The 23,176-nt window shown below is 51.0% G+C and overlaps 1 protein-coding gene across 9 annotated transcripts in view, besides 8 other annotated features; it reads right to left on the bottom strand.

The window, feature by feature from the left end:
• Nucleotides 9,519–10,192: an enhancer, noted in NCBI's record as "H3K4me1 hESC enhancer chr17:21226043-21226716 (GRCh37/hg19 assembly coordinates)". NCBI's record gives its function as "activates a minimal SCP1, AML or CMV promoter by ChIP-STARR-seq in naive H9 embryonic stem cells {active_cell/tissue: H9 hESC(naive)}" and the evidence as "EXISTENCE:reporter gene assay evidence [ECO:0000049][PMID:30033119]".
• Nucleotides 9,726–9,855: an enhancer, noted in NCBI's record as "active region_11888". NCBI's record gives its function as "activates an Ori minimal core promoter by ATAC-STARR-seq in GM12878 lymphoblastoid cells {active_cell/tissue: GM12878}" and the evidence as "EXISTENCE:reporter gene assay evidence [ECO:0000049][PMID:35858748]".
• Nucleotides 9,896–10,005: an enhancer, noted in NCBI's record as "active region_11887". NCBI's record gives its function as "activates an Ori minimal core promoter by ATAC-STARR-seq in GM12878 lymphoblastoid cells {active_cell/tissue: GM12878}" and the evidence as "EXISTENCE:reporter gene assay evidence [ECO:0000049][PMID:35858748]".
• Nucleotides 10,016–10,065: an enhancer, noted in NCBI's record as "active region_11886". NCBI's record gives its function as "activates an Ori minimal core promoter by ATAC-STARR-seq in GM12878 lymphoblastoid cells {active_cell/tissue: GM12878}" and the evidence as "EXISTENCE:reporter gene assay evidence [ECO:0000049][PMID:35858748]".
• Nucleotides 13,710–14,386: an enhancer, noted in NCBI's record as "H3K4me1 hESC enhancer chr17:21221849-21222525 (GRCh37/hg19 assembly coordinates)". NCBI's record gives its function as "activates a minimal SCP1, AML or CMV promoter by ChIP-STARR-seq in naive H9 embryonic stem cells {active_cell/tissue: H9 hESC(naive)}" and the evidence as "EXISTENCE:reporter gene assay evidence [ECO:0000049][PMID:30033119]".
• Nucleotides 14,387–15,063: an enhancer, noted in NCBI's record as "H3K4me1 hESC enhancer chr17:21221172-21221848 (GRCh37/hg19 assembly coordinates)". NCBI's record gives its function as "activates a minimal SCP1, AML or CMV promoter by ChIP-STARR-seq in primed H9 embryonic stem cells {active_cell/tissue: H9 hESC(primed)}" and the evidence as "EXISTENCE:reporter gene assay evidence [ECO:0000049][PMID:30033119]".
• Nucleotides 15,401–15,910: an enhancer, noted in NCBI's record as "H3K4me1 hESC enhancer chr17:21220325-21220834 (GRCh37/hg19 assembly coordinates)". NCBI's record gives its function as "activates a minimal SCP1, AML or CMV promoter by ChIP-STARR-seq in primed H9 embryonic stem cells {active_cell/tissue: H9 hESC(primed)}" and the evidence as "EXISTENCE:reporter gene assay evidence [ECO:0000049][PMID:30033119]".
• Nucleotides 17,683–23,176, bottom strand: part of MAP2K3 (mitogen-activated protein kinase kinase 3) — a 30,530-nt gene continuing 25,036 nt past the window's right edge. For 4 of the 9 annotated variants that reach the window (XM_017024857.3, XM_017024859.2, XM_011523959.3 and 1 more), the window contains 3 exons: nucleotides 20,642–20,781; nucleotides 19,386–19,431; nucleotides 17,683–18,776 (listed from right to left, as the gene is read on the bottom strand). In XM_017024857.3, coding sequence (XP_016880346.2) covers nucleotides 18,693–18,776; nucleotides 19,386–19,431; nucleotides 20,642–20,781 — 270 coding nt within the window. In that variant the 3' untranslated portion in view covers nucleotides 17,683–18,692. The remainder of the gene's footprint in view (nucleotides 18,777–19,385; nucleotides 19,432–20,641; nucleotides 20,782–23,176) is intronic. The other 5 variants (XM_047436408.1, XM_047436409.1, XM_011523958.3 and 2 more) reach the window with 2 other exon arrangements.
• Nucleotides 20,319–20,936: an enhancer, noted in NCBI's record as "H3K4me1 hESC enhancer chr17:21215299-21215916 (GRCh37/hg19 assembly coordinates)". NCBI's record gives its function as "activates a minimal SCP1, AML or CMV promoter by ChIP-STARR-seq in naive H9 embryonic stem cells {active_cell/tissue: H9 hESC(naive)}" and the evidence as "EXISTENCE:reporter gene assay evidence [ECO:0000049][PMID:30033119]".

Here is a 23,176-nt window from a genome sequence, read left to right as displayed (position 1 = left end):
TCCTTACTACATGACGAGGCCCTTTCCAAATCAGACAGGAAAGGGGTGACAAGCCCCTCACTCTGGTTCTAATGGAAGTTGGTTCAACAGTTTAAGAGGGCATTGTATATCAAAAGGTGAAAGAAAAGTTCACCCTTTAACCGCATTTTTAGGAATTTTGCTTCAGGAAATAGCCCGAGATGTGCACTAAAATTCCTTTACAAGATGCCCTTCACAGTCACACCTCAAACCAGGGAGCAAAATGGAAGTGACCTAAATGTGAAACAATACGGCATGGTTTAAACTATCCAAACTATTGAAATCATTTTCCAAAAAAAATCTTTCTGGCCTGGAGCAGCGGCTCACGCCTATAATCCCAGCATTTTGGGAGGCCAAGGAGGGTGGATCACAAGGTCAGGAGATTGAGACCATCCCGGCTAACACGGTGAAACCCCGTCTCTACTAAAAATACAAAAAATTAGCCGGGCGTGGTGGCGGGCGCCTGTAGTCCCAGCTACTGGAGAGGCTGAGGCAGGAGAATGGCTGAACCCAGGAGGCGGAGGTTGCAGTGAGCCGAGATTGCGCCACTGCACTCCAGCCTGGGTGACAGAGCGAGACTCCATCTCAAAGAAAAAAGAAAAAAAAGGAAAAAAAAAGTCTTTCCTTAAGTTGCAAAATAATGATGTTATCGTAGCTTCCTGAAGAAGAAGGTAGTACTCCGATAGATTGCTGATTAGAATAAAACATGGTACAGCCACTCTGGAAAACATTTTGGCAGCCTTTCCTAAAGTCGAATCTACATTTATCACAGAACCCAGAAATTCTATTCTCAGCTATTTACCCAAGAGAAATGAAAACATGTGATCACACAAAACCTGTACACAAATGTTCATAGCGTCTTAATCCACAATAGCCCAAAACTGGAAACAACCCAAGCGTCCCTCAACTGCTGAATGGGCAATAAACAAACCATGGCACATCCATACCATGAAATACGACTCAGCAATAAAAAGGAATGGACTTTTGGCTCAATCTCAAAAGCATTATGTTCCATTTATACGGCATTCTGGAAAAGGTAAAACTCTAGTGGCAGAAAACAAATCCATGTTTAGTGAGGGGGTGGGAGGGGTGGGGTGGGAATGGAAGTCAACCGCAAATGTGCAGGTGAGGTCTCTGGGTTGTGAAGGAAGGGGCCTAGGCAGGGGTTACACAGCTGTCTCCATTTATCAAACTGACACTTCTAGTTGGTGAATTTTAAAGTCTATAAATTATGCCTCAATTAAGCTGATTCTTTAACAGTTTTTTAAAGCATGTTATAAAATAACATGGTTGGGCCGGGCACAGTGGCTCACACCTGTAATCCCAGCACTTTGGGAGGCCAAGGCAGGTGGATCACCTGAGGTCAGGAGTTCGAGACCAGGCTGGCCAACATGGTGAAACCCCGTCTCTACTAAAAATACAAAAATTAGCCAGACATGGTGGCAGGCGCCTGTAATCCCAGCTACTGGGGAGGCTGAAGCAGAAGAATCGCTTGAACCCGGGAGGCGGAGGTTGCAGTGAGCCAAGATGGCGCCACTGCACTCCAGCCTGGGGGACAAGAGTGAGACTTCATCTCAAAAATAAAATAAAATAAATAAAATAACATGATTGGTTCGGTCTCAATTTTGTGTAAAAAAGAAGTATACACCTGTGTTAGGACAGATTAAGACAAGCTGTGGTAACAAAACCCCTCAATCTTGATGGCTTAAGCAAACTAAGGTTCATTTCCTCATCATGTCCCAGTCTAAGATAAATTGGATAATGTCTAAGGCAGCTCTGCTCCACACAGTGACACTGGCATCCAAGCAGCATCCATCCTGCGGTTCCATCCTCTCAATATGACTTCCACAGTTACTGCCAACAAGAGAGGAGGATGTGAGAAGGCCCCAACTCTTAACTGTCTCCACTGCGGTTGGTGCAGGTCCCCGCTGCATCCGCCATCTGCCAGGATGAGTCACGTGGCCTCAACTCAACAGGCAGGGAGGCTGGGAAAGGAAGGAGACCATGGATATGTAGCGAGTGCTGGTTGTCTCTGCTGTAATATTTCCTTACAGTCACCAGATAACTCTTGCTCCATTTTTCCTATACAGAGAACACACCCCTCTTCCCTAAGGGAAAGAAACCTGTCCCACCCAGCACTGCCTCCAGCTCAGGGTGATGTGCAGGTCTATGTCTGTGAGGGTCCTCTTGTCCAGGGCCTTCTCAACTAAAATGACAAGTTACTTACCCTTCTCCACACCCCCCAGTATACTCCGGTGGATACCACGGGCATCCTTCCCACCTAGAGCCTGTGCAGACATGTAAAGATTCATAGTGACTTTGAGAGCCCACCGGTCAGTCTGTGGGCAGCCCCTACCTTGAGGATGAGGATGGGCCTTTCATCAGGCCCTGATGCTTCTCAGGGGAGAAACTCCCTTGTCCAGTGTCCTCCAGGGCCCTTCATTCTGCCTTTTGGGTTGTTCTCTTTCTGCCTGTTTCCTTTTTCTTCTTATCCCTATCTGGGTGAGATTTCCCACTTTCTCAGTCCACTGCCTCTCTCCTAGAAGGCCAAAGGTCCTAATGTCATTTAATCCCTTTTTAAGTTTCAAGTCATCAAAGGCTTTTGTAAGCCAGGCATGGGATTTCCCTGGAATCACATTCCCTTTAAACATCTAGTAGGATTCTGATCTAGTTGCCTCCAGTCTGTTCTGTGTGCCTTATAGGGATGATGGAGGATCAAGGCTCCCTCTACCTTAGATGCCACTGTGTCTTTGGAGATCACCACAGCAGTAAAAGAAAAAGAGGGAGGAGGCACACCAGGTCTTAATTGCTTCCAACTGGAAGTGACAGTCATTGCTGAGACTGGGAGGTCTTGCTACACGCCCCACTCATGGTGATTACAAGGGGTTCATAGAAAGGTCAGAGGGGCCGGAATAGTGCTAATAAATTAGAACTCCCTTCCAGGGCAGGGTCCACACTGAGAACTGGCTAAGAGTAGGCAGGGTATGGTGGCTCACGCCTGTAATACCAGAACTTTGGGAGGCCAAGGTGGCCAGATTGCTTGAGCTCAGGAGTTCGAGACCAGCATGGCAAAACCTTGTCTCTACAGAAAACACAAAAATTAACTGGGCATGGTGGCACACACCTGTAATCCCAGCTATTTGGGAGGCTGATGCAGGAGGATCACTTGAGCCCAGGAGGTCAAGGCTGCAGTGAGCTGTGATCATGCCACTGCATTCAAGCCTGGGCGACAGAGTGAGACACTGTCAAAAAAAAAAAAAAAAAAAAAAAGAACAGGCTGAGAGTAGAATCTAAAATGGGCAGAACAGAGACAACAAGAACCAAAAACTAGAAATGAAAGAAAGAAAGAGCAAGAGAGGGAGGGAGGGAAGAAGGGAGAAAAGGTTTAGGTAGGAAGGAAAAGGGGTATAAAATAAAGTACAAGATCCTATTTTTTAACACTTCACAAAAGCAACAGAAGAGGAAACTATAGAGCCGTGAAGTTAGAAAAGTGGCTCTGACCCACCCTCTTCTTCAGAGTTTAGAAAACTCATTTCATTAAAAAATGAGCAACACAAAATGATTGTGGTTAAACCCCATACAAAATTATTGTAAGAAAAATGAGAATGATGAATGATGCCCCCACAGATAATGAAGGCATTCCAGAAACACATGCCCCAAAATACATGCCCCAAAGTGTAGAAACTCATTTAAAAATGAGCCAACAGAAGTTAAGAAAGTAACAAAAGTTATAAAAGAATAACAAAATTTGGAAGACTTCAGGAAAGATGTGCTAGAACTGAAGAAATAATTAGAAATAAAAGAAAAACCCTATTTCAGAATGACGACTAAACTAGAAGGAACACAAGACCAAATGAACACAAAGAAGATAAAATGATGAACATTTCTAAAACAAAAAAATGGAAGACAGAGAACTAGGATTGAGAGAAAGTGACTATGTAGATGACAGGCAAATGATCTAACATATGTATAATAGTAGCTGCTGAAAAAGAAAACCAAAGCTAGATAATCAAAGAAAGAGTAAACACTACAATTTAAAAACACTTTCCTGAGATAGATAAAAACTTGAAACAACATTGTGTACCTAAAAAAAAAGTGACCCGGCACATCCAACAGAGAATCATATTCTATGACATATTCTATGGATGCCATTGAGAATCTGGGAAAAGATCAAGTCACTCTTAGACAAGACGGCATGACAAAAGGAAAAAAGAGAAAGAAAAAGATTAAGTCACTTATCAGGAAAATCAGACTGTCATCAGACTTACCTACATCAATACTTCATGCCAGAAGACAAGGGACTAGTATGGCCACATTATTAAAGGGGTAAAGTACAATCCAAGAAAGATATGTCTCCAGCCAAACTGATGTTCAAGTATAAGGGTCATAAACAATTACCAACATGCAAGAACTCCAAGAGTATTATTCCTGGGAGCACCTACTGAGGACCCTATTAGAAAACAAGCGTCAGGCAACCAAAGTGACTAGAGAAACATAAACATAAGGTCTGATGGTGCGTATTCAACATATACAGCATATACTTACTTGTACGATTAGGAGTAAACAATGGTTGTAAGGAATAAAGTACAGCTGTTACAGTACAATTATGAGATATTTGAGGGAAAATGGGAAGAGCATATGAAAAGTAGAATAAGCTTGTTGACTGCCTTATAGTTAATAACTAGGAGTAAAAGGATATTAATTCAAATCAGGTGCTGTGGGAAAGGAAAGGGAAGAGGATACTAGCACATTTCAATATTGTTCATAGTAGGAAACCAACAGACAAAAAAGAGGGAACTGAAAGCATTATGTGCAGATATTAGTATAAAGGTAATCATTTCAGCAAAAATATGACCCTTCCTTAGTACCAAAAAAAAAAACAATAAGAGATAGAGAAAAATAAAAGCCACACTGAAAAACAATTTGTTTAAAAGATTTACGTAAGTATAAATGTAACATAAAACAATATGACAGAACTGAGGTTAAACATACTGATTATATGGTCTTAATTCACCTATTAGCAGAAAAAAGATTTCTATATTGGCTAACAAAACAAAATTCAAACCTGTCCTTTAAAATTTCTCTGGAGGCTGAGATGGAGGCTCACACCTGTAATCCCAACGCTTTGGGGGGCCAAGGCAGGAGGATTGCTTGAGCCCAGGAGTTTGAGAACAGCCTGGGCAACATAGGAAAGCGCTATATAAAAAAAAAAAATTAGCCCAGTGCAATGGTGCACACCTGTGGTCCCAGCTACTCAGGAGGCTCAGGAGGGATTGTTTGAGCCCAGGGGGTTGAGGCTGCAGTAAGCTATGATCACACTACTATACTCCAGCCTGGGTGACAGAGTAAGACCTTGTCTCAGATAAAGAATAAATAAAATAAGATAAAATAAAATCTCTCTGGAGTGATGGCCAGAACATATTGTCTAGTGAAAAGTGTGAGGTAGGGAAGTGACTCTAATATGCTACCATTTATCTAATACAGAGACAGGATACACACATATATGAACCAGCTTATATTAAAAATGGAAAAGGAAGGGTGTTCTAATTACCTGAAGCAGCATAACAAACTACCTTTTTGGTGGGTCTGAACAATCATTTTATTGCATAAATGATTATTTGGGTCAGGAGTTCAGGCAGGGCTGGCTGGGTGGTTTTTCTTTCCCATGCGGCGTTGATGGAGATCACTCACTGACAGCCGGTTGGAAGATGGGCTGATCTGGAGGCTCCATGATGGCTTCACTCACACAGCAGTGTTTGGTGGGACATCTGGAAGGCTGGGCTCAGCGGATGGACCCAGGTGCCTACACGCGGCCTCTCCAAAAAGGGGTCTTGGAGTGACTGGACTTCTTCACGTGATGGCTCAGGGGGCTCCAAGCATGAATGCCCCAGGTGAGCTGGGTGGAGGCTCTAAGGCATTTTACAACCCACCTCAGAAGTCTCTGAGCATCATTTCTGCCACACTGTTAGCTAAAGCAGTCACAAATCCTCCAGATGCAAGCAGAGGGACATAGACCACATCTCTTAATGGGATGACTATCCAAGGATTTGTGGCCATGTTTTACAAATGCCATGAAGGATAAACTGTATATTGCGTATAATGGTTACATATGGGGAAGAGTGGGGACAAGGTGGGGCAGAAAGGAATAGAAGTTAGGCTTCTCTGAATATAATTCATTCTGTAGATCTGATTTTAGAAACATGTAAGTATGTCATATAATTATAAAAGTTTTACAAATCCCCTAAACATTGAAAGCAAAAGGGAACAAATGAACCTCTGTATACATTTTTTTTTTTTTGAGACAGAGTCTTGCTCTGTCACCCAGGCTGGAGTACAGTGGCACCATCTCAGCTCACTGCAACCTCCACCTCCTAGGTTCAAGCAATTCTTCTGCCTCAGTCTCCTGAATAGCTGGGACTACAGGCACGAGCTACCACGCCGGCTAATTTTTGTATTTTTGGTAGAGACGGGGTGTCACCATATTGGCCAAGTTGGTCTCGAACTCCTGACCTCATGATCCGTCTGCCTCAGCCTCCCAAAGTGCTGGGATTACAGGTGTGAGCCACCGTGCCCGGCCTGTGTATACACATTTTACAACCACATTGAGAGGAAGTATTCCAAGGAACTTTAAAATACCATAATTTGACTATACATTTCTAGTGCAATATGCCCTAAAGACAAAAAGAAAAAATCATTTTAAACTGTTTCAATCATTGCATTATGCTGACGATGGTGCTGGTATTATTCTGATATCATTGTGTGTGTACGGTGGCTTCATGCAAATGGTTTTCTTACTGTATTAATGTGTGTCATTGAGAACCAGATTCTTTCCTAGAGAAAATGAATACAAATAAATGACAGAAGTTAAGTGAAAGCCCTGCGGTCCTAAATTTGAATAGGAAGTATCATTATGATTTAATGATGTAGAAATACTGACCACAGGTTGGGCGTGGTGGCTCAATCCTGTAATCCCAACACTTTGAGAGGCCGAGGTGGGCAGATCACTTGAGGTCAGGAATTCAAGACCAGCCAGGCCAACATGGTAAAACTCCATCTCTACTAACAAAACAAAACTTAGCCAGGTGTGGTACTGCACACCTGTAATCCCAGCTACTCGGGAGGTTGAAGCCAGAGAATTGTTGGAACCTGAGAGGCAGAGGTTGCAGTAAGTGGAGATCGTGCCACTGCACTCCAACCTGGACAACAGAGGGAGACTGTCTCAAAAAAGAAGAAGAGGAAGAGGAAGAGGAGGAGGAGGAAGTACTGACCACAGCAGTACTGTGCACCCCTGGTACCCAAGTTGTGTTTTTTTTTTAATTCTATTTTCCTTTTTTTATATTTTGTTTTACATGCTATTTTGACAAAGGTTGTGGAGGCACTTCTCACTAAAAGGAACTAGGGCTCCTGGGAGAAATGGCTGACTCCAGGTCTAGAGCAGTAAATGCACACAATAAACCTGCAGCATCTTGCCAAACCAGAGAGCAAGTACATTCTCAAAGACCAATGGGGTCATGTCCAAAGTACTCAAGAGCCAGCTTGAAAGATGGGACAATTTGAACTTCAATAAGGGCAATTAATGCAGTCAATTAAAACACAGAAAATGTCTTTGAATTCACAAGTTTGTACTTATTTTTTTATCCCTACTTGATCATCGTTGGAAGAACAATTTAATTTAGAAAACTGTTAGAGGAACCAGATCAAGCATATATCACTTTATAAACTGTACCACCAGGTAGCCAAATAGCAGAAGTTTTGTTGAGGGTCAGTTTCTCTCTATAGAAACATTTCAGCGAATACATGAAGGAATGACAGAATATCACCGTTATGCAACCACTAATTTGTTTTAAATTTATTTGCAACCACTAATAAATTAATGAGTCCAGGCACTGAGCATCAGCAGCTGCTAATACCACAAAGAGAAGACAGAACACTGCCTCCCAACAGAAGAGCAGAGAACTCTGCACCAAGTGTTCTTGCCAAAAAAAAAAAAAAAAAAGTCCAACCTGATCTGGTCAAGTCACTAGACCAGCTACCGATTTACCGGAAATACAGACTACGGGAAACTCTACAATCTAACAACCCAGTTTCTTCAACAAATAAATTATGAGGAAGAAAACAGGGAGGGGCAACCACTAAATGAAAGACACCAAGGCAATCCATCAGCCAGTGGAGACGCGGGGTCTTATTCAGATACCAAATCAAACCATTCTTTTGTTAATTCTATTATTCATGAGACATTTGGAAATCTGAACAGAGACTGAATGGTTGCTGATATTAAGGGATGGTTGTTACTTGTGCAAATACTAAAGACTGTTATTGTCATTTTTTAAGATCCTAATCATCCAGAGCTATGCTCTGAAATATTTGTGAATTAAATTATACTGTGTCTGGGATGAATGGAATGAATGTTTAGATAATTTGGGAGGGGAAGTAGCTGAGGGTAGAGATGAGACAGGACTGTGTGTGGGCATCACTGCTGCAGCTGGTGCTGGCTTCCTGAAGGTTCCTTATGTGACTCTCTGTTTCTGTGTATGTCTTAACTTTTCATAATAAAAGGCTCGTGTATGTAAATTTTCACACAATAAAAAATTTATATTTAGAAAAAAGGCTAGAAGGAATAAATCAACATGCTAGCAGACGGGATTATAGGTAAAATTACTTTTTAAATTGCTTAGTATCTTCAATAGTACTTTAAAAATCTGGGAAAGAGATGAAACCAAACTATCCCACCCTTCCCCGAGGAAGGTTTTGCCTGTGCTCTGCAGGTGGTCGGGTACATTGGCACCACTGGACCAGGCAGACATTTGGCTGTATCAACCACGGCCCTTACAGGCAAATGCACTTCCCCTACCCGACTTCTCTTCTGGGAATCATGCCCGAGGAAATCATCTCAAATCTGAAATGCCAGCAAAGCTGCCTGCGCAAGGTGTCCACGTCGGGGCTATTTACTGGAGTGGAAGCTGGAGTCAGAGGCTGCGTCCAGGGCAAGGAGTGTCTCGGGGAAGCCACGGAAAACGGTAACCACGGGGCAGAAGGCCGCAGACTATGCTGGGGCGCCAGGGATGCGCATCTGCACATCTGACACATTCGTTTTGCAAACACGTGTGGGAAATGGACGGAAGCCAGTTATCAGCCTCCCGGGACACCCCGCTAATATTTAAAATGGAAACGCCCCAACCCCTCCTGGGGGAACCTGGCTTTCTCAAACTGCCCTGGAAGTTCCCAGGAGGCCTAGGGTCCCTCACCCCACTGCTGCCATGTTCCGTGTCGTTACACTCGCGACCTAGCTTTGTCGTTTTCTACTTGTCCCTGCCCGCCTGGAGGGCTCCGTTTACACCCGCTCCTTTTCCCCACCTCCGACGCCCCTCCCAGGCTGCTGCCTGTGTCCACTTTCCCTGAAGATGGAAGAAGGTCGGATTTCCCTAGGAGGGTCCTCATAGGACCTGCCTGGCCACTCCTTGCCCCAGGACGCCCTGGGCCGGGCACCTCCAGAAACATCTTCCCGCATCCCCGGCAAGAGCTCCCTTTCCACAGACACAGAATCCTCTGCATATTTTCTTACACGAAGACCATTCTTTCTAAAAGAATCTTGTCCCCGCTTTAAAGTTTGTGCTCCCTCCCTGCAGAGGGAATGACAGTCCCCACCTCTATTCCCCTCCCGCAGCCGTGGACCCCACTGTCCCGGGAGCGACTGGCTCCCTTATGAAGACTACATTTCCCAACGTCCTTTGCGGCCACGGCTGGCCATGTGACCCAATACTGCCAATGGGGTGCGAGCGGCGCGAGGAAGTGGATGAACCCACACCCGGCAGGGCAGAAAAGGGATAGAACTCAGTCCGCCGTCGCCACCGTGAACCACTGACTGCTACAGGAGCGAATAATCGTCTACCTTGTTTAAACCATCATTAACTTGGGTTTTGGTGTTTGTTTGTTTGTTTGTGTGTTTTTCGAGACGGAGTCTTGCTGGGTCGCCCAGGCTGGAGTGCAGTGGCGCGATCTGGGCTCACTGCAACCTCCGCCTCCGGGTTCAAGCAGTTCTCCCTGCCTCAGCCTCCCGAGTAGCTGGGATTACAGGCGCCGGCCACCACGCTTGGCTAATTTTTGCATTTTTTAGTAGAGACGGGGTTTCGTCATGTTGGCCAGGCTGGTCTCGAACTCCTGACCTCAAGTGATCCGCTCACCTCAGCCTCCCAAAGTGCTGGGATTACAGGCATGAAACACTGCGCCCGGCCGGTTTTGTTTTTTAATAAGTAACCGAGCCTGCATTCTAACCAATAAACTCATTCTATTAAAACACGCCTGTGGTGCCCAGGGCCAGCAGGTTGTCTCATGTCAGGTTCTCCCAGAAGCCGAGCCTGAGAGCAGGATTCAGGTGCAAATGTTTCCCTAGGGAGTTTCTTCCAGCTGAAACCAGCGAGGGAGCCAGGGAAAAAGAAGGAGAAGACAAGCAAGGGTTTCTTCAATTTCCATCCCTGCCGTGGCCTGAGCCCAAGGGAGCTCTGCAGCACAAATTATGCCTCTGAGTTTGTCCTGCCTTAAGGCAAGGGGCTAGGCTTTTCTGCTGCATACTTCCCTGAAGCAGGTTTGAGATGCAAGGGTTAGCAGCACAGCACAGAGCAGGCGGGGAGCTGGCTTGTCCCAGTAAGGAGGTCTGTAGGCTCTGGTCAAGGCACCAACATTACTCTATGCCCAGGAGTCCCGGACTCTTCGCAGCAGCTTTCCAGGCCCTCAGTGATTTCCACAACGTCAACCTCCCCCACCCACCTCGGCCCACCTCCTCACACCTTGGCCTAACAAGATGAATGAGTGACAGCCCCACAAACACTTCCCCAGGACCTTCAACCAGGAGTGCAATACCCCCACCCCAGCAGCCTTCGTCCCCAGGACCTCCAACCAGGCACACTAACGCCCAGGCCTTCATCCTCTGCCTCCCGGAGATTTCTGGCAGACACCACAAGACCTGGGATAGGACTGCTTAGCAAAGCATGCTGGCATTTGCCCAGAGAGGGTGTCAGGTCCCCGCCACGGGACTGAGAACGTGGAGAATCAGAGAGGGGCAGTGACTTGCCCAGGGCCACACAGCTAACAGGAGGGAGGAGCTGAGATGGTGAGGAGAGGAGAAAGCAGTGCCACAGAGAAGTCTAAAGGTGCGAGAGAAGCTGGGGGAAGTAGACCTCAGACTGTGGGGAACCACCAGCGCTGGTGTGGAGGGCGTGGTCCAGTGGGTCAGCAAGGATCCCTGTAACATCAGGCGTCATTTGCCGAGCACTTCGTCATCAGGTCCTGTTCTCCCCACCATGATTCTCAGAGGCGCTGTCTCCTTGGGTTCTCCCAGTACACTCTCAGACACTGAGAAGCTTTGGACTCAAGTAAATCCTAGGAAATACCCATAGGGAAGTGGAGAAGTGAGACAGGGAAGAGCCAACCAAGGCCATGTCATCAACAGAGCTACCGCTGGGTGCAACTGGAGCTCCATCCCTTGGAGATGGCGCAGGATATACACTTCCAAGTCTCCTCTCTCGGCTGGATGGATGCTCCTGAGGAACACCAGCCTCAGCTGGCTGGCTTTGCACTCACGCAAGCAACCTTGACCCCTCCGCTCCACTTCACAGCAACCAAACCGTGAGGGACGTGGTGACTCGCTGAAAGTCATCCACAGACAGAAGGGACCAAGTGGGCCCCAGGAGGGGGTCTGGGTACCTGGCCAGGCTCTGCCCTAGCTCCAATCAGGGCTCCAGGACTCCAAGACGGCAGGTCTGTGCCCACTTACAAGCACAGCCTGTGAAATCTCAGAGTCCCAGGACAGATGCCTCCAGCCTCCTAGCCCAAGGTTTAAGGGCAAGCCCAGCTCTGCCATGGATGTGCATCCTGAGGGACCCCACGGGGACAGATTGTAGTTGAAGGCAACTATAGGAAGCAGAATAAACTTGGGTTTGGCCCAAGAGGAGGCAGTGGAGGCAGGGACCAGGGGGACAGCATTATTCATGGAGTACCTACTGTGTGCCAGCCTGTTCCATGCTGCAGGGTTCTGTTGAAACCACCTGCAATCCTGCCAGATCCTGCCCCAATTTGCAGATGAGGAAACTGAGTCTCTGAGAGGTGCAGTGACATCTTCAAGGTCATACAACCTGGGGTGAAAGTGTCAAATTCAAGGTTGTCTGACCCAAGGGCTGGGGACAGTGGGGGCTGAAGAGGCACGGAGTAGGGCTCTGAGGGCAAACAGGTGTGATCTTGCGCTGCTGTTGTTCTTAATGCAATCAGATGACATCTCTCCCCGGCTCACAGCCCTCCAGTGACTTTTGCCCTGAATATGAAGTTCAGCCTCTCTGCCATGGCCTGCAGGGCCCGTGCCATCTGTCCTTCAACCCCTTGGTCTCTTGGGTGGCAGAAAATCCCTGCCTGCCCCAGGGGCTTTTAAATTCAAATGTAAAAAAATTAATTAATTAAATGTAATCATTTAATGGTAATTAAGCTTAACTAGTTTAAATGACTTTGCTAATTAACTTAGAGTTCACTGCTTCTCCTTAGGGAGTGATCATGGGGTGATGCTGGAAGAATGGGGGGAGCACAGCTTTCCGCGAAGGTGGGTGCCTCCTCCCTGCCTGACACCCTGGCTGAGCAGGTCCAGGTCTGTCTGAGCCCTGGTACAGCTCTGGTTCTAGAACACAACGTGGCACATAGAAGGTGCTCAGATAACACGTGCCATGGGCCAAACCCTGTGGAGAACAACCCAGATAAGGCCCTGCTGTCAAGTTCATGCTGTGCCTCCTTTTCCTTGGATGTTGTGGGAATAGGGAGCCATGGAGGGTTTGGGAGGCAGACAAGGAAAGAATTTCCTAGGCTAGTTCACAGAGCAACTCCCCCATCCCCAACCAGAGCTTGCAGCTGCTGCTGCCTCGCCAGGCCTCCCCAACTCAAGTCCCCAATAAGGCTGGCCCAGAACAGGAATAGAGCAGCCCACGGCTTCTGCGAGGACAGAGGGGGTGGCTGCAGCTAAACCTGGCTTGGCAGGTGGCTCACTGGGGCTGGGCAGAGCCTCAGCTGGGGGTAGGGACTAGGGGCAGGACGCCTGGGTTTCTGGGCTTCCCTGGCTCTGCCTCACTCTCTGGTGGCCTCAGGAGGGGTCAGAGCCTCGCTGAGCCTCTGTAACCTCCAGGAGAAGCCGGCTGCCCTGGGCGTGAAGATACACAAGCTCTGATAAACATAGTACAGCCAGTGTATATATAGACCCTCCCACCTGGTTTCCAAAAGGATTTGCAACAGCTTTCACAAGAGGCAAAGAAATGAGCATTGAGAGTGAGCCAGGGTTTACACATGGGCCCCTCACGTCACAGGCCTGGGGAACTAGAACAGGGAAAAGAAGATGGAACCCAGATCCCTCCAGGAATCGCGTCTGTATGGGAGTGAGCTCCCCATCAGGGCAGGTATGCAAGCAGAGGCCAGCAGGCCTTGGTGGGGGTGTGGTTGAGAGGATTGGTGCATCAGGGAGAGGTGTGGTCAGATGCGAAGCCCCTGTTGGAAGATGAGGTGACTGGTCCTGCCTGCCCACCACAGCCCCTGCCCACAGGGAAACCAGGATGAGATAATGCTGGTGTTGGGGGCCTGTATTCATCTGTTTCATTGTTGCTATAACAAAATACCACAAACTGGATGATTTCTTCTTCATTCTTTTCTTAAATTGAGACAGGGTCTCAATCTGTCACCCAGGCTGGAGTGCAGTGGCAATCACCGCTCATTGCAGCCTCGAACTCCTGGGCTCAGGCAATCCTCCCACTTCAGCTCCTGGAGTAGCTGGGACTACAGACATGCACCACCACACCTGGCTTTTTTGTACAGATGAGGTGTTGCTATGTTGCCCCAGCTGGTCGTGAGCTCCTGGCCTCAAGCGATCCGCCCGCCTTGGCCTCCCAAAGTGCTAGGATTACAAGTGTGAGCCATGTGCCCAGCCCAGACTGGGTACTTTCTAAACAACAGAAATTTCTCAGGGTTCTGGAGGCTGGGAAATCAAGATCCAGGCCGGCATCTGACAAGGCCTCCCTGCTGTGTCCTCCCATGGCTGAAGGAAGGCCGAAAGGCAAGAGAGTGCTGGAGGCAGCAGGGGAGGGCAAAACGCCCTTTTATTACAACCAACCCCCTCGGTAACTAACCCACTGGGAGATGGCTGGCAGCATTCATCCATTCAGGAGGGCAGGCCCCCAGGATCTAATCCTGCTGTGAGGCCCCACCTCCCAACACAGCAGCTTGGGGGACATATTCAATCCTTCCGGCCCCTGCCGATTCCCTGGGGGAAGAGGGACTTGACCACAGTTTCGGGGCTGCTGGAGCCTGAGCCGCCAGGTGGGCAGCACGGGCCTCCTTGGGCTCCGCCCTCAGAAGCAGAGCTCGGCCCCGAGGGAGGGCATGGGAGCGGGAGCGCAGCCGGGACGCTAACCCCCGGCACGGGTGCTGCCTGCTGTTTGACTTGGAGCTCCTGGCTTCCCTTCTCTGAGGTGCAGAGTCCTCAGCCAGCACAACGCGCCTATCGGCTCAGTATCGGCTCGCTCCTGGAAAGCCTTCCCAGAGCAGACCCCCGGAATAAACGGAATGGCAGCACTGTCCCCAGACCACCTCCCGCACAGCCCTGCTGCCTGCTGCCTGCGCTGGGCCTTGCGGCAGCCTTCCTGCACCTGCCCTGTCTCCTGTGAGCAAGGCCGGCTCCTCCTGGTCTTGCGGGGGAGGCGGCCAGTGGGCAAGAATGAAAATGAATAAATGTGAAGAAAGTGCGGCAGGACAAGTGTGGTCAGGGAGGCATCTGAGCAGACCCCAAAGCGGGAGCACATCCGGGGAAGAGCGTTCCGGGAGGAGAACAAGACAGCTCCTGCAGAGGCCCTGCACCGCCAGGCTCGGGGTGAAGCGCAGGGAGCCAGGCACAGGGTACAGGGGAGGCAGGGGTGGGCGCCCGGGGTGGGGCACTGTGGACCATGAGGAGGCCCCCACCGAAGACGGTAGCTGCAGCAGGGATCTGGAGGAGAGGCTTCACGCCCTGGCCTCTAGAAGGGAATTCGCCAAATCCTCCCTCCGCAGCCTCCCTGCTCCTGAGCAGGCCTGTCTGCTGCATTTTTTTCTTTTTTCTTTTTTTTTTTTTTTTTGAGACGGAGTGTTACTCTGCCCCCCAGGCTGGAGTGTAGCACCTCGATCTCAGCTCACTGCAACCTCTGCCTCCCAGGTTCAAGCGATTCTCTTGCCTCAGCCTCCCAGATAGCTTGGATTACAGATGTGCGCCACCATGCCCGTCTAATTTTTGTATTTTTTTAAGTAGAGACGCAGTTTCACCATCTTGGCCAGGCTGGTCTCGAACTCCCGACCTCAGGTGATCCACCTACCTCAGCCTCCCAAAGTGCTGGGATTACAGGCGTGAGCCAACACGCCCGGCCTGTCTGCTGCAGTTTTAATGCTGCCTGATGAGGAGGCTCTCACGGCTGTAATTGAACAAAGTCTACATGCCTCTGCCATCTCCCAGTCCAGAGACTCATTAATCCCGGGCCTGGAAGAGGCGCCTGCCCGGACCCTGCTGCCTGACAGGAAATGCGGGCGTCCGGCCTCGGGGGAGGGGGGGGCGGCCGCTCCCCATCCCCATTCCCCCACCTCAGGGACAGGGAACAGGGGAGAGGGGCCCTGCCGCTTGAGACCTCCACGGGTAGTATAAACTGTCAAGGGCCTGTGCTTTGTAAATGTTAGTGACCTGCGCACTGGCTTCCGCACTCTGATGGCTGGACACGCTCTGTAAAAGCCAAAGGGTCCCATAAATGGCAAGGGAACTGCAAACGACTGGGGCTGCAGTCGTGCGCGGAGGAGCCTGCTCTCTGTGAAGGGCTGCGGCATCCAGCCAGGCCTGCGGCGTCCAGCCAGGCCTGCGAGCCGCGAGGGGCGCGGTGGCCTGCGGGGCGCTGGGTAACTTCAGGGGCGCGCACGGTAAATCTCTAGGCGTTGGGTCTGCTGCTGTCTGCAGGCTGCAGAGTCCCCGGAAGCCCCGAGGGCCGGGCCAGGGGGTGCACACGGGCAGGACAGCCGCAGAGGCCGAGAACTGGGCTGACGCGTGGCAAGCCCGCGGCCTCCAGCTGCGCCGAGGACGCACGAGGACGCGGACGGGCGCTCGGGGCCGGGCGGGGCTCCAGGACACGCGGTTGAAGCCGAGCTCTACCGCCCCCTGGCGGCTACAGGAGACAGAGCCTGGGGCCGCGCCCCGGCAAGGGATTCATTCCCTCCCTCCCCCCTTCCCTCCCTCCCTCATTCATTCTTTCATGTGTTCATTCAGCAGAAGCCGAGCGCTCCCTCGGTGTCGGCAGCATTCTCAGCGCTGACGACACAACAGTGACAAGTCAGGTCTCGGCCAGGATAACCCAGGATAATAAGCTAGATTGGCTGGGCCTAGTGGGCGGAGGCTGTTTGAGCCAGAGTGGTCCTGGAAGACCTCGCTGAGGAGGTGACATGGGAGACCGGGATGGGGTTGGGGGGAGCCAGCCACAGGAAGACGGGGGAGGGGGTGTTCTACGCAGAGGGGACAGCCAGTGCAAAGGCCCTGGGGTGAAAACAAGTCTTCATGATTGAAGGATGGAGAGAGGGAGACAACAGCTCCCAGGAACTGTTCGCCCCTGTGCCAGGGAAGGGTTAGTGGGCAGAGACCTGTCCCAGACTGGGGCTGGAGGACAGGAGGAGTGCAGAGACAGACCCCATGGGGACCCTCCTCCTGGGAACACACCCTAAGCTTCCTCAGAGGACCACAGAGACCCTGCTCTCAGACCTTGAGCTGTAGTGGGCGGAGTCCCCTCATGCCTGACCTGACCTGAGCTGTCACACCCACCCTCCTGGCCTGGGGATGAATTCGACTCCTTCCCAGCTGGTAAGAGCCAGTCCTGGGACTTCAGGAGTACCCTGGGCACGGTGTGCCGAGCTCTTGGAGTCCCTGGGTCCTGACTGGTCCCCATGAGGGGGTGAACCTGAGACGGATGAACAGCCAAGGTGGATGCAAGTCCTTCAGGCCATCAGCTGAACTTCGAACCTAACGGTACCTGAAGCTGAGCACACCCGGCTTACGTGAGCAAATTCCCTGCTGCCCCAGCCATGCTGCCAGCGTCACAGGGCCAGACTGCAGGGCGCCTTCATCAGGCTGCCCCTACTCCCCTCGGAGCCTTCTCCGGAGCCCACCACCTGTCCCCAAGTCTGTTTTTCTGTCTTATAAGCTGTGTGGCTTTGGGTAAGTGATGTCAGCTCTCTGGGTCTGTTGTTCCCATCTGTAAACTGGAGGTCAGGTAACCTCCATGAGGTCACCGTGTCCAGCCCAGGCAAAGTGTGCAGGGTGCTCGCTGCTCTGTGACCTGGCTGTCATCACTACTTCAGGACAGTGGGATGGGTGGCCGCCACCAGCAGACTGGACCTGTGTGTTCGCTGCTCTGTCCAGTGTCAGTACAGGGCCTGGTGCCTGGATGATCACAGGATGTTACCTCATCACAGCCCTCTGGGGGCCTCTGTGTCCTCAGATGTAGAAGGGCCTGGTAGGTTGGCAGTCCTCCCTCCCCTGAGCACGACACCCTGCCCCTGGCCCAGAGACAAGGGTCCCTTGAAGGGCCACAACCTTCCCCAAGTAAGAGGGGGGCTCACAGGTGTCATACACAATCTCACACAACCTTTAGTCCTTTTTTTTTTTTTTTTTTTAATTAAAACAGCAACCAGGTAACTGCCCCAACCCATCAGGGAAAGGACCCGGGATGGGCAGTCGTTTTTTCAAAAAAATATATTTTCTTTTTTTAAAAACAACACCAAAGCAAACCCATAGCCCCTGTCAAGCCAGTCCTCAGGGAGAGTGAGCTGGAAGGCTCCCCCTGCACTTCTCTGAGCAGAGATCTTGGGCCCCTCCCACTGGACCCCAGCCTGAGCAGAGGGCAAGGCTCTGCCTGCTGGTACCCTAGGGGGTGGGGGAGAAGCGATCAGCTCCAAACCATGCAAGAAAAACAAGCCAAACCCATAAAGCAAAAGAAAAAATCAACAGAGGATAAATTAAAAAAAACACGAAAGGTGAATGACACCGATAACGGTGGCGGGCAGGACTGGGTGAGCCAGTGTGCTCCGCAGAGGCCCTGTTTGCCAGTGCCAGGGGAAGGCCTTGGGCGGCTCATGGCATCTCCCTCATGGGAGTCTTGGGGTATTCACACAACTCATCCCCTCTTGTGTACCCCGCACCAAAGCCGGGATAGAGGTGTGGCCACCCTGGGCCAAAGTGTGCAAAGTCCATTCAGTCGAGAGATTAAAAAAATATACAACTTGGATGGCATCCAGGCTGGGCAAGGCGGTGGCCCATCCACCCAGGCACTGGCAGCCTGCTGTGCAGGGGCAGCAGCATCCACAGGGGGCATCCAGGCCCCCTCAGTCCAGGATCTCAGCAGCTGGAGACGGGTCCTAGGAGCAGCAGGGAGAGGCACTGGTGGGGCCGACAAGGGCCTGGCTGGGAGCCCCAATGGTCTGCTTCTTTGGCACTTGGGACAAATGGCTCGCCACAGAGCCAGGTGGGAGCAGCCCCCTCGGTTCCTCCCAGATGCCCTGGGCCAGGATGGCAGTAGCTTATGGTGTGGGTGAGCACTGCCCCCGCAGATGGGGCTGTGGGGCTCTGGAGGGCCGGAGTGGGGTCCGAGGCCCAGCCCCTATGAGTCTTCTCCCAGGATCTCCTTCACGAAGGCAGCAATGTCCGTCTTCTTGGTTTTGTGCAAGGTGAAGAAGGGGTGCTCCTGGGGGTGACAGAAGGCACAGTCACCATGGAGGGGTAGCGGGAGGGAGAGGTGGCCACTCTTCCCCAACCAGCTCCAGCCCAAGTGTTCTCCTGACTGGCAAAATCCTACTCATCCTTCTAGGACCTCCACCCCCAGGAGGCCCTCCATGACTGTCACAGATGGCATCTGTGGCTCCTCCTCAGCTCTCTTGTGGTCACTCTCCAGCCACACTAACCTCCCTTTCCCCCCACACGTCAGGCCTCTGCCCATGCTGGACCTTCTGCTTGGGACAGCCTCTCCATCAGGAGATAACCCTTATTCATCCTTCCAGGCTCAGTTCAAATGGTACCTCCTCCATGAAGCCTTCCCTGATGCCACCCTTGGCCCCTCTGCCCCATTCTGTCACACACTGCCTGTGTACCCTTCCCAGGGCCTGGCATGCAGGAAGGAGGGAGGAGGGAGCCAGGTATGCAGGAGCAAACAAATGACCGAGCACCTAAAGGAGAGAACACAGGGCCAGCCAGAGGAGCTACCCATCTGTGTGCAGGATGCAGCCCTCTCCCCAGAGCCCCACCCAGCCCCAGCCAGCCCTGAAGAGCAGGGCAGGCACCTCCCGCCCATACTCACCATCAGCTCCAGGTAGCTCATACGCTCTGCGGGGTTCTTCCTCAGGCTAGGAGAGAATAGTGCAGCTGTGGCCAGGCTGGCAGGGAGGAAGCCCAGCCCCCAAGGGCCAGCCAAACCACCCCAGGATTGCCCCAGGCCTAGCAGCAGGGGACACGTGCACCCAGGGAAGAAGGGACAGGACTGTCTAGGGCTTCTTCCAGGGTGGAGGGGCATTCATAGGAGCAAACTAGAGACTTGCAGCAAGTTTCTCTGGCTCCTGGGGTCCTGGTTTTCTTGTCTGCATAGTGACCTAGGAATTTCCATATCAACACCAAAATGGGGCTGCAATGCTCTGCCTAACAGTCACACACTTGGTATCCTCAATCAGGAGAGAAACTCCTTATCATGGGTTCTGGGAGAAGTTAGTCCACAATTAAAGGGGTCAGACTGCCCAGGGACTCTGCTGGGCTCCTCTGTTGCTGATTATGGTCAACAATAAAAGTGCGGGGACCATGGGTGTGAGCCACCGCACCCGGCCGCTTCTTCCTTACCCAATTCTTGCTCTATTTAATTAAGTTCAGAGAAGTTGCCCTCTTCCTTATTCCTTCTGTAACCTCAAACATGATTTTTTTTTTTTTTTGAGACAGTCTCACTCTGTCACCCATGCTGGAGTGCAGTGGCATGATCTCGGCTCAGGCTCACTGCAACCTCCGGCTCCCGGGTTCAAGCGACTCTCCTGCTTCAGCCTCCTGAGTAGCTGGGATTATAGGCATGCGCCACCACGCCCGGCTAATTTTCCTATTTTTAGTAGAGTCGGGGTTTCACCATGTTGGTCAGGCTGGTCTCAAACTCCTGACCTCGGGATCCGCCTGCCTCGGCCTCCCAAAGTGCTGGGATTACAGGCGTGAGCCACCGTGCCCAGCCTCTCAAACATGATTTTTATAAGGCTCCTATGGGGCATTCTTTAATTTGGTACAAAGTTCTAGATATCAATAAAAGCAAACTTGTTTTTTGTGTTCAAATTTTCCATATACTTTGTTCTCTTTTTCAGTCTATCTGATTTGTCCACTTCTGGAAGAACTGTATTAAAATCTCCCACCAAGACCATCGTTTTGTCAAATGCTCCTCATGCTCCAGCTGTTTCTGCCTTACATATTTGGATGCCAAGTCATCTGGGGGTTTATTTGCCAAAGGAATAAAGGAACAGGGCCCAGGAAGGTGCAGGGATCTGGCCAGGGAGGGGCAGTGGCAGGCGCTCAGCAGCACCCAAGACTCACCACTGAGCAGTGAAGTCCACAAACTCGGGGGAGAAACGGTCGGCTGGGAGCTGGGGGGACGGCTCCTCCACCACCTGCTTCAGCTGCTGGAACGGGGTCCCCCAGGACTCGTAAGGGAACCGCAGGATGGCCATCTCAATCTGCAGCGGGGACAGGGGGTCAGAGGCCCCGGCCCCAGATACAACCACGCTCTGCACCCAGGAGCGAGGGTTGGGGGCTCCCACCCATCCTGGTACCAGAGCCAGGCGTCAAAGCTGCACAGCTGATCTCCCTACCACATCCCAGCAGAACAAAGGCGAGAAAGCCGGGGATGCCAGCTCTTAGCTCCTCCGACCCAGCCAGCAGGACCCAGCTCAGGAAGCAGATTCAGCCCACACCGGGACTGGTGGGACCATCATAGGGTTTTCAGAAAACCTGAATTCTGAAGATTTTACAAAACAATGCAGGTTCCAGCTGCTCTGGAAAAATCTGAGGAGCTGGCAACTTTGGGCCGTAGCCTCATGAGCCAGGTGGGCAGGTCCCAGGTGGTCACAGCCAATCCCCTTCCTAACATCTGACCATCTCAGACTTCAGCATCTGCTGTCATTAATTTGGGCTGTTTTCACAGAGGAGGCACATGGGAAATGCTACACACACACACACACACACACACACACACACACACACACACACAGCTGTCTCCAAGGCCGCGGACAGAGTGTGAGACCATGAGGCTGCTTCGCCTCTGCACCCGTGAGCCTGCAGCCTCATCTTCTGCAGGGCCCCAGCAGTTTCCCTCCTAGACAAGTGGCCTGTGTGGCCACATGTGCCCTGCTGGATCCAGATTTCCTGTGGGTGACATCGGGCCGGTGGGTCTCTGTCCTCGCTCCAAGCTCCCAGCCCTGTGGTTGGCAGGAAGTCATCATGGAAGGGACGGACTAGCTAGCTTACAACCAACTCTGGGCTCCAATCATGATGACTGGATGGAAAAAACAAGTTATGTCAGCCCTGGCCCCGGCCTGGAAGAACAGAGAATTCCGAGGCTCCAGCACAAGGGCCCTCACTGCCGGCCGTCATCACCATGATGAACGGAAGAGACCTCAGCACAAACACTTGGCACTGGCAACTGGAGCCCGGACAAGACCCTAAGGACTGTGCTGAGACTGTGCCTCCCATCAGGCTAGAGGCCCTTTCCAGCTCAGACAAACACACCCACACAGGCAGGGCCCACTGCGTGTGTGTGCATGTGTGCATGCGTGTTCACAGGACAAAACCGTACCGATTTGGGGGGCTTTTCTCTTAGAATTTTCACTGACTGCAATATGTAGAGCAAGTACCCCATACGAGCTACAGGAGAAGGACCAGCGGCCATGAGAGTTATAATTAGAAAAGCAGAAGTGTCCAAACCTTCAACCTCGTACTCCTTTATTTTTTCTAAAGAGCTCAAAAAATGAAAAACAACAAAAATAGCCTCCAGACACGAAGATGTGCCATATGGTGTTTTCTGCCAGGAAATACTAAGAAACAGCCTGAATGTCCAGCGCCAGGGGCCGGCCCCACCATGGGGGCGGAGACCCAGCCAGGACCGTAGTCGCACCCCTGTGACTCCCCAGCGACAACACTAACAGGCCAGCACCCAGTCAGCACTTGCTCCTGGCCAAGGGCCATCCCCGGCATGACCCCTGTCTGTTCTGGGTGATTCCCACTGGCATCCTGAGGCTTGTGCAGTGAGTGGGAAAAAGCCAACGCCAAGAGAGCTCTGGGGCCCTTGCAGGATGGGGGGAGGCCGAGGCCAGAGCCCCACCCAGGGGGACTCTCCCGACTCTGTTTCATCAGTCGCTCCCCCAGGATGGCTGAGAATTTGAAATGGAAGGAAAACAGCAGGAACAAGGGAAACAACCCACATCAGCAGACAGGGTGACTGAATGGTGGCAGATGGTTATGGAGTCTTTGGAAGGGATACATACAGGAGTCTATTATAATTTAGAGAAATTGGCCAGGTGCGGTGGCTCACACCTATAATCCAAGCACTTTGGGAGGCCGAGGCAGGCAGATCACTTGAGGTCGGGGGTTCGAGACCAGTCTGACCAACATGGAGAAACCCCATCTCTACTAAAAACACAAAATTAGCTGGATGTGGTGGTGCACACCTGTAATCCCAGCTACTTGGGAGATTGAGTGAGGCAGGAGAATCACTTGAACCTAGGAGGCAGAGGTTGTGGTGAGCCGAGATTGCACCACTGCACTGCAGCCTGGGCACCAAGAGCAAAACTACATCTAAAAAAAAAAACAACAAAAAAAACAAAAAACAAAAAAAACAGAGAGAGAGAGACAAATATGAACAACATGTAATGCTACAAAATTTTTTTTAAAAAGTTTTTTAAAAAGAAGCATTACGAGGCCAGGCGCAGTGGCTCACACCTGTAATCCCAGCACTTTGGAAGGCCAAGGTGGGTGGATCACGAGTTTGAGACCTGCCTAGCCAATATGGTGAAACCCCATCTCTACTAAAAATACAAAAATTAGCCAGGCATGGTGGCGCACGCCTGTAGTCCC

Source organism: Homo sapiens, chromosome 17 (assembly GCF_000001405.40).
Source record: "Homo sapiens chromosome 17, GRCh38.p14 Primary Assembly".
Taxonomy (NCBI): Eukaryota; Metazoa; Chordata; class Mammalia; order Primates; family Hominidae; genus Homo; species Homo sapiens.
The sequence above is the reverse complement of the archived record's forward strand: the minus strand, read 5'-3'. Positions and strand labels throughout refer to the sequence as shown.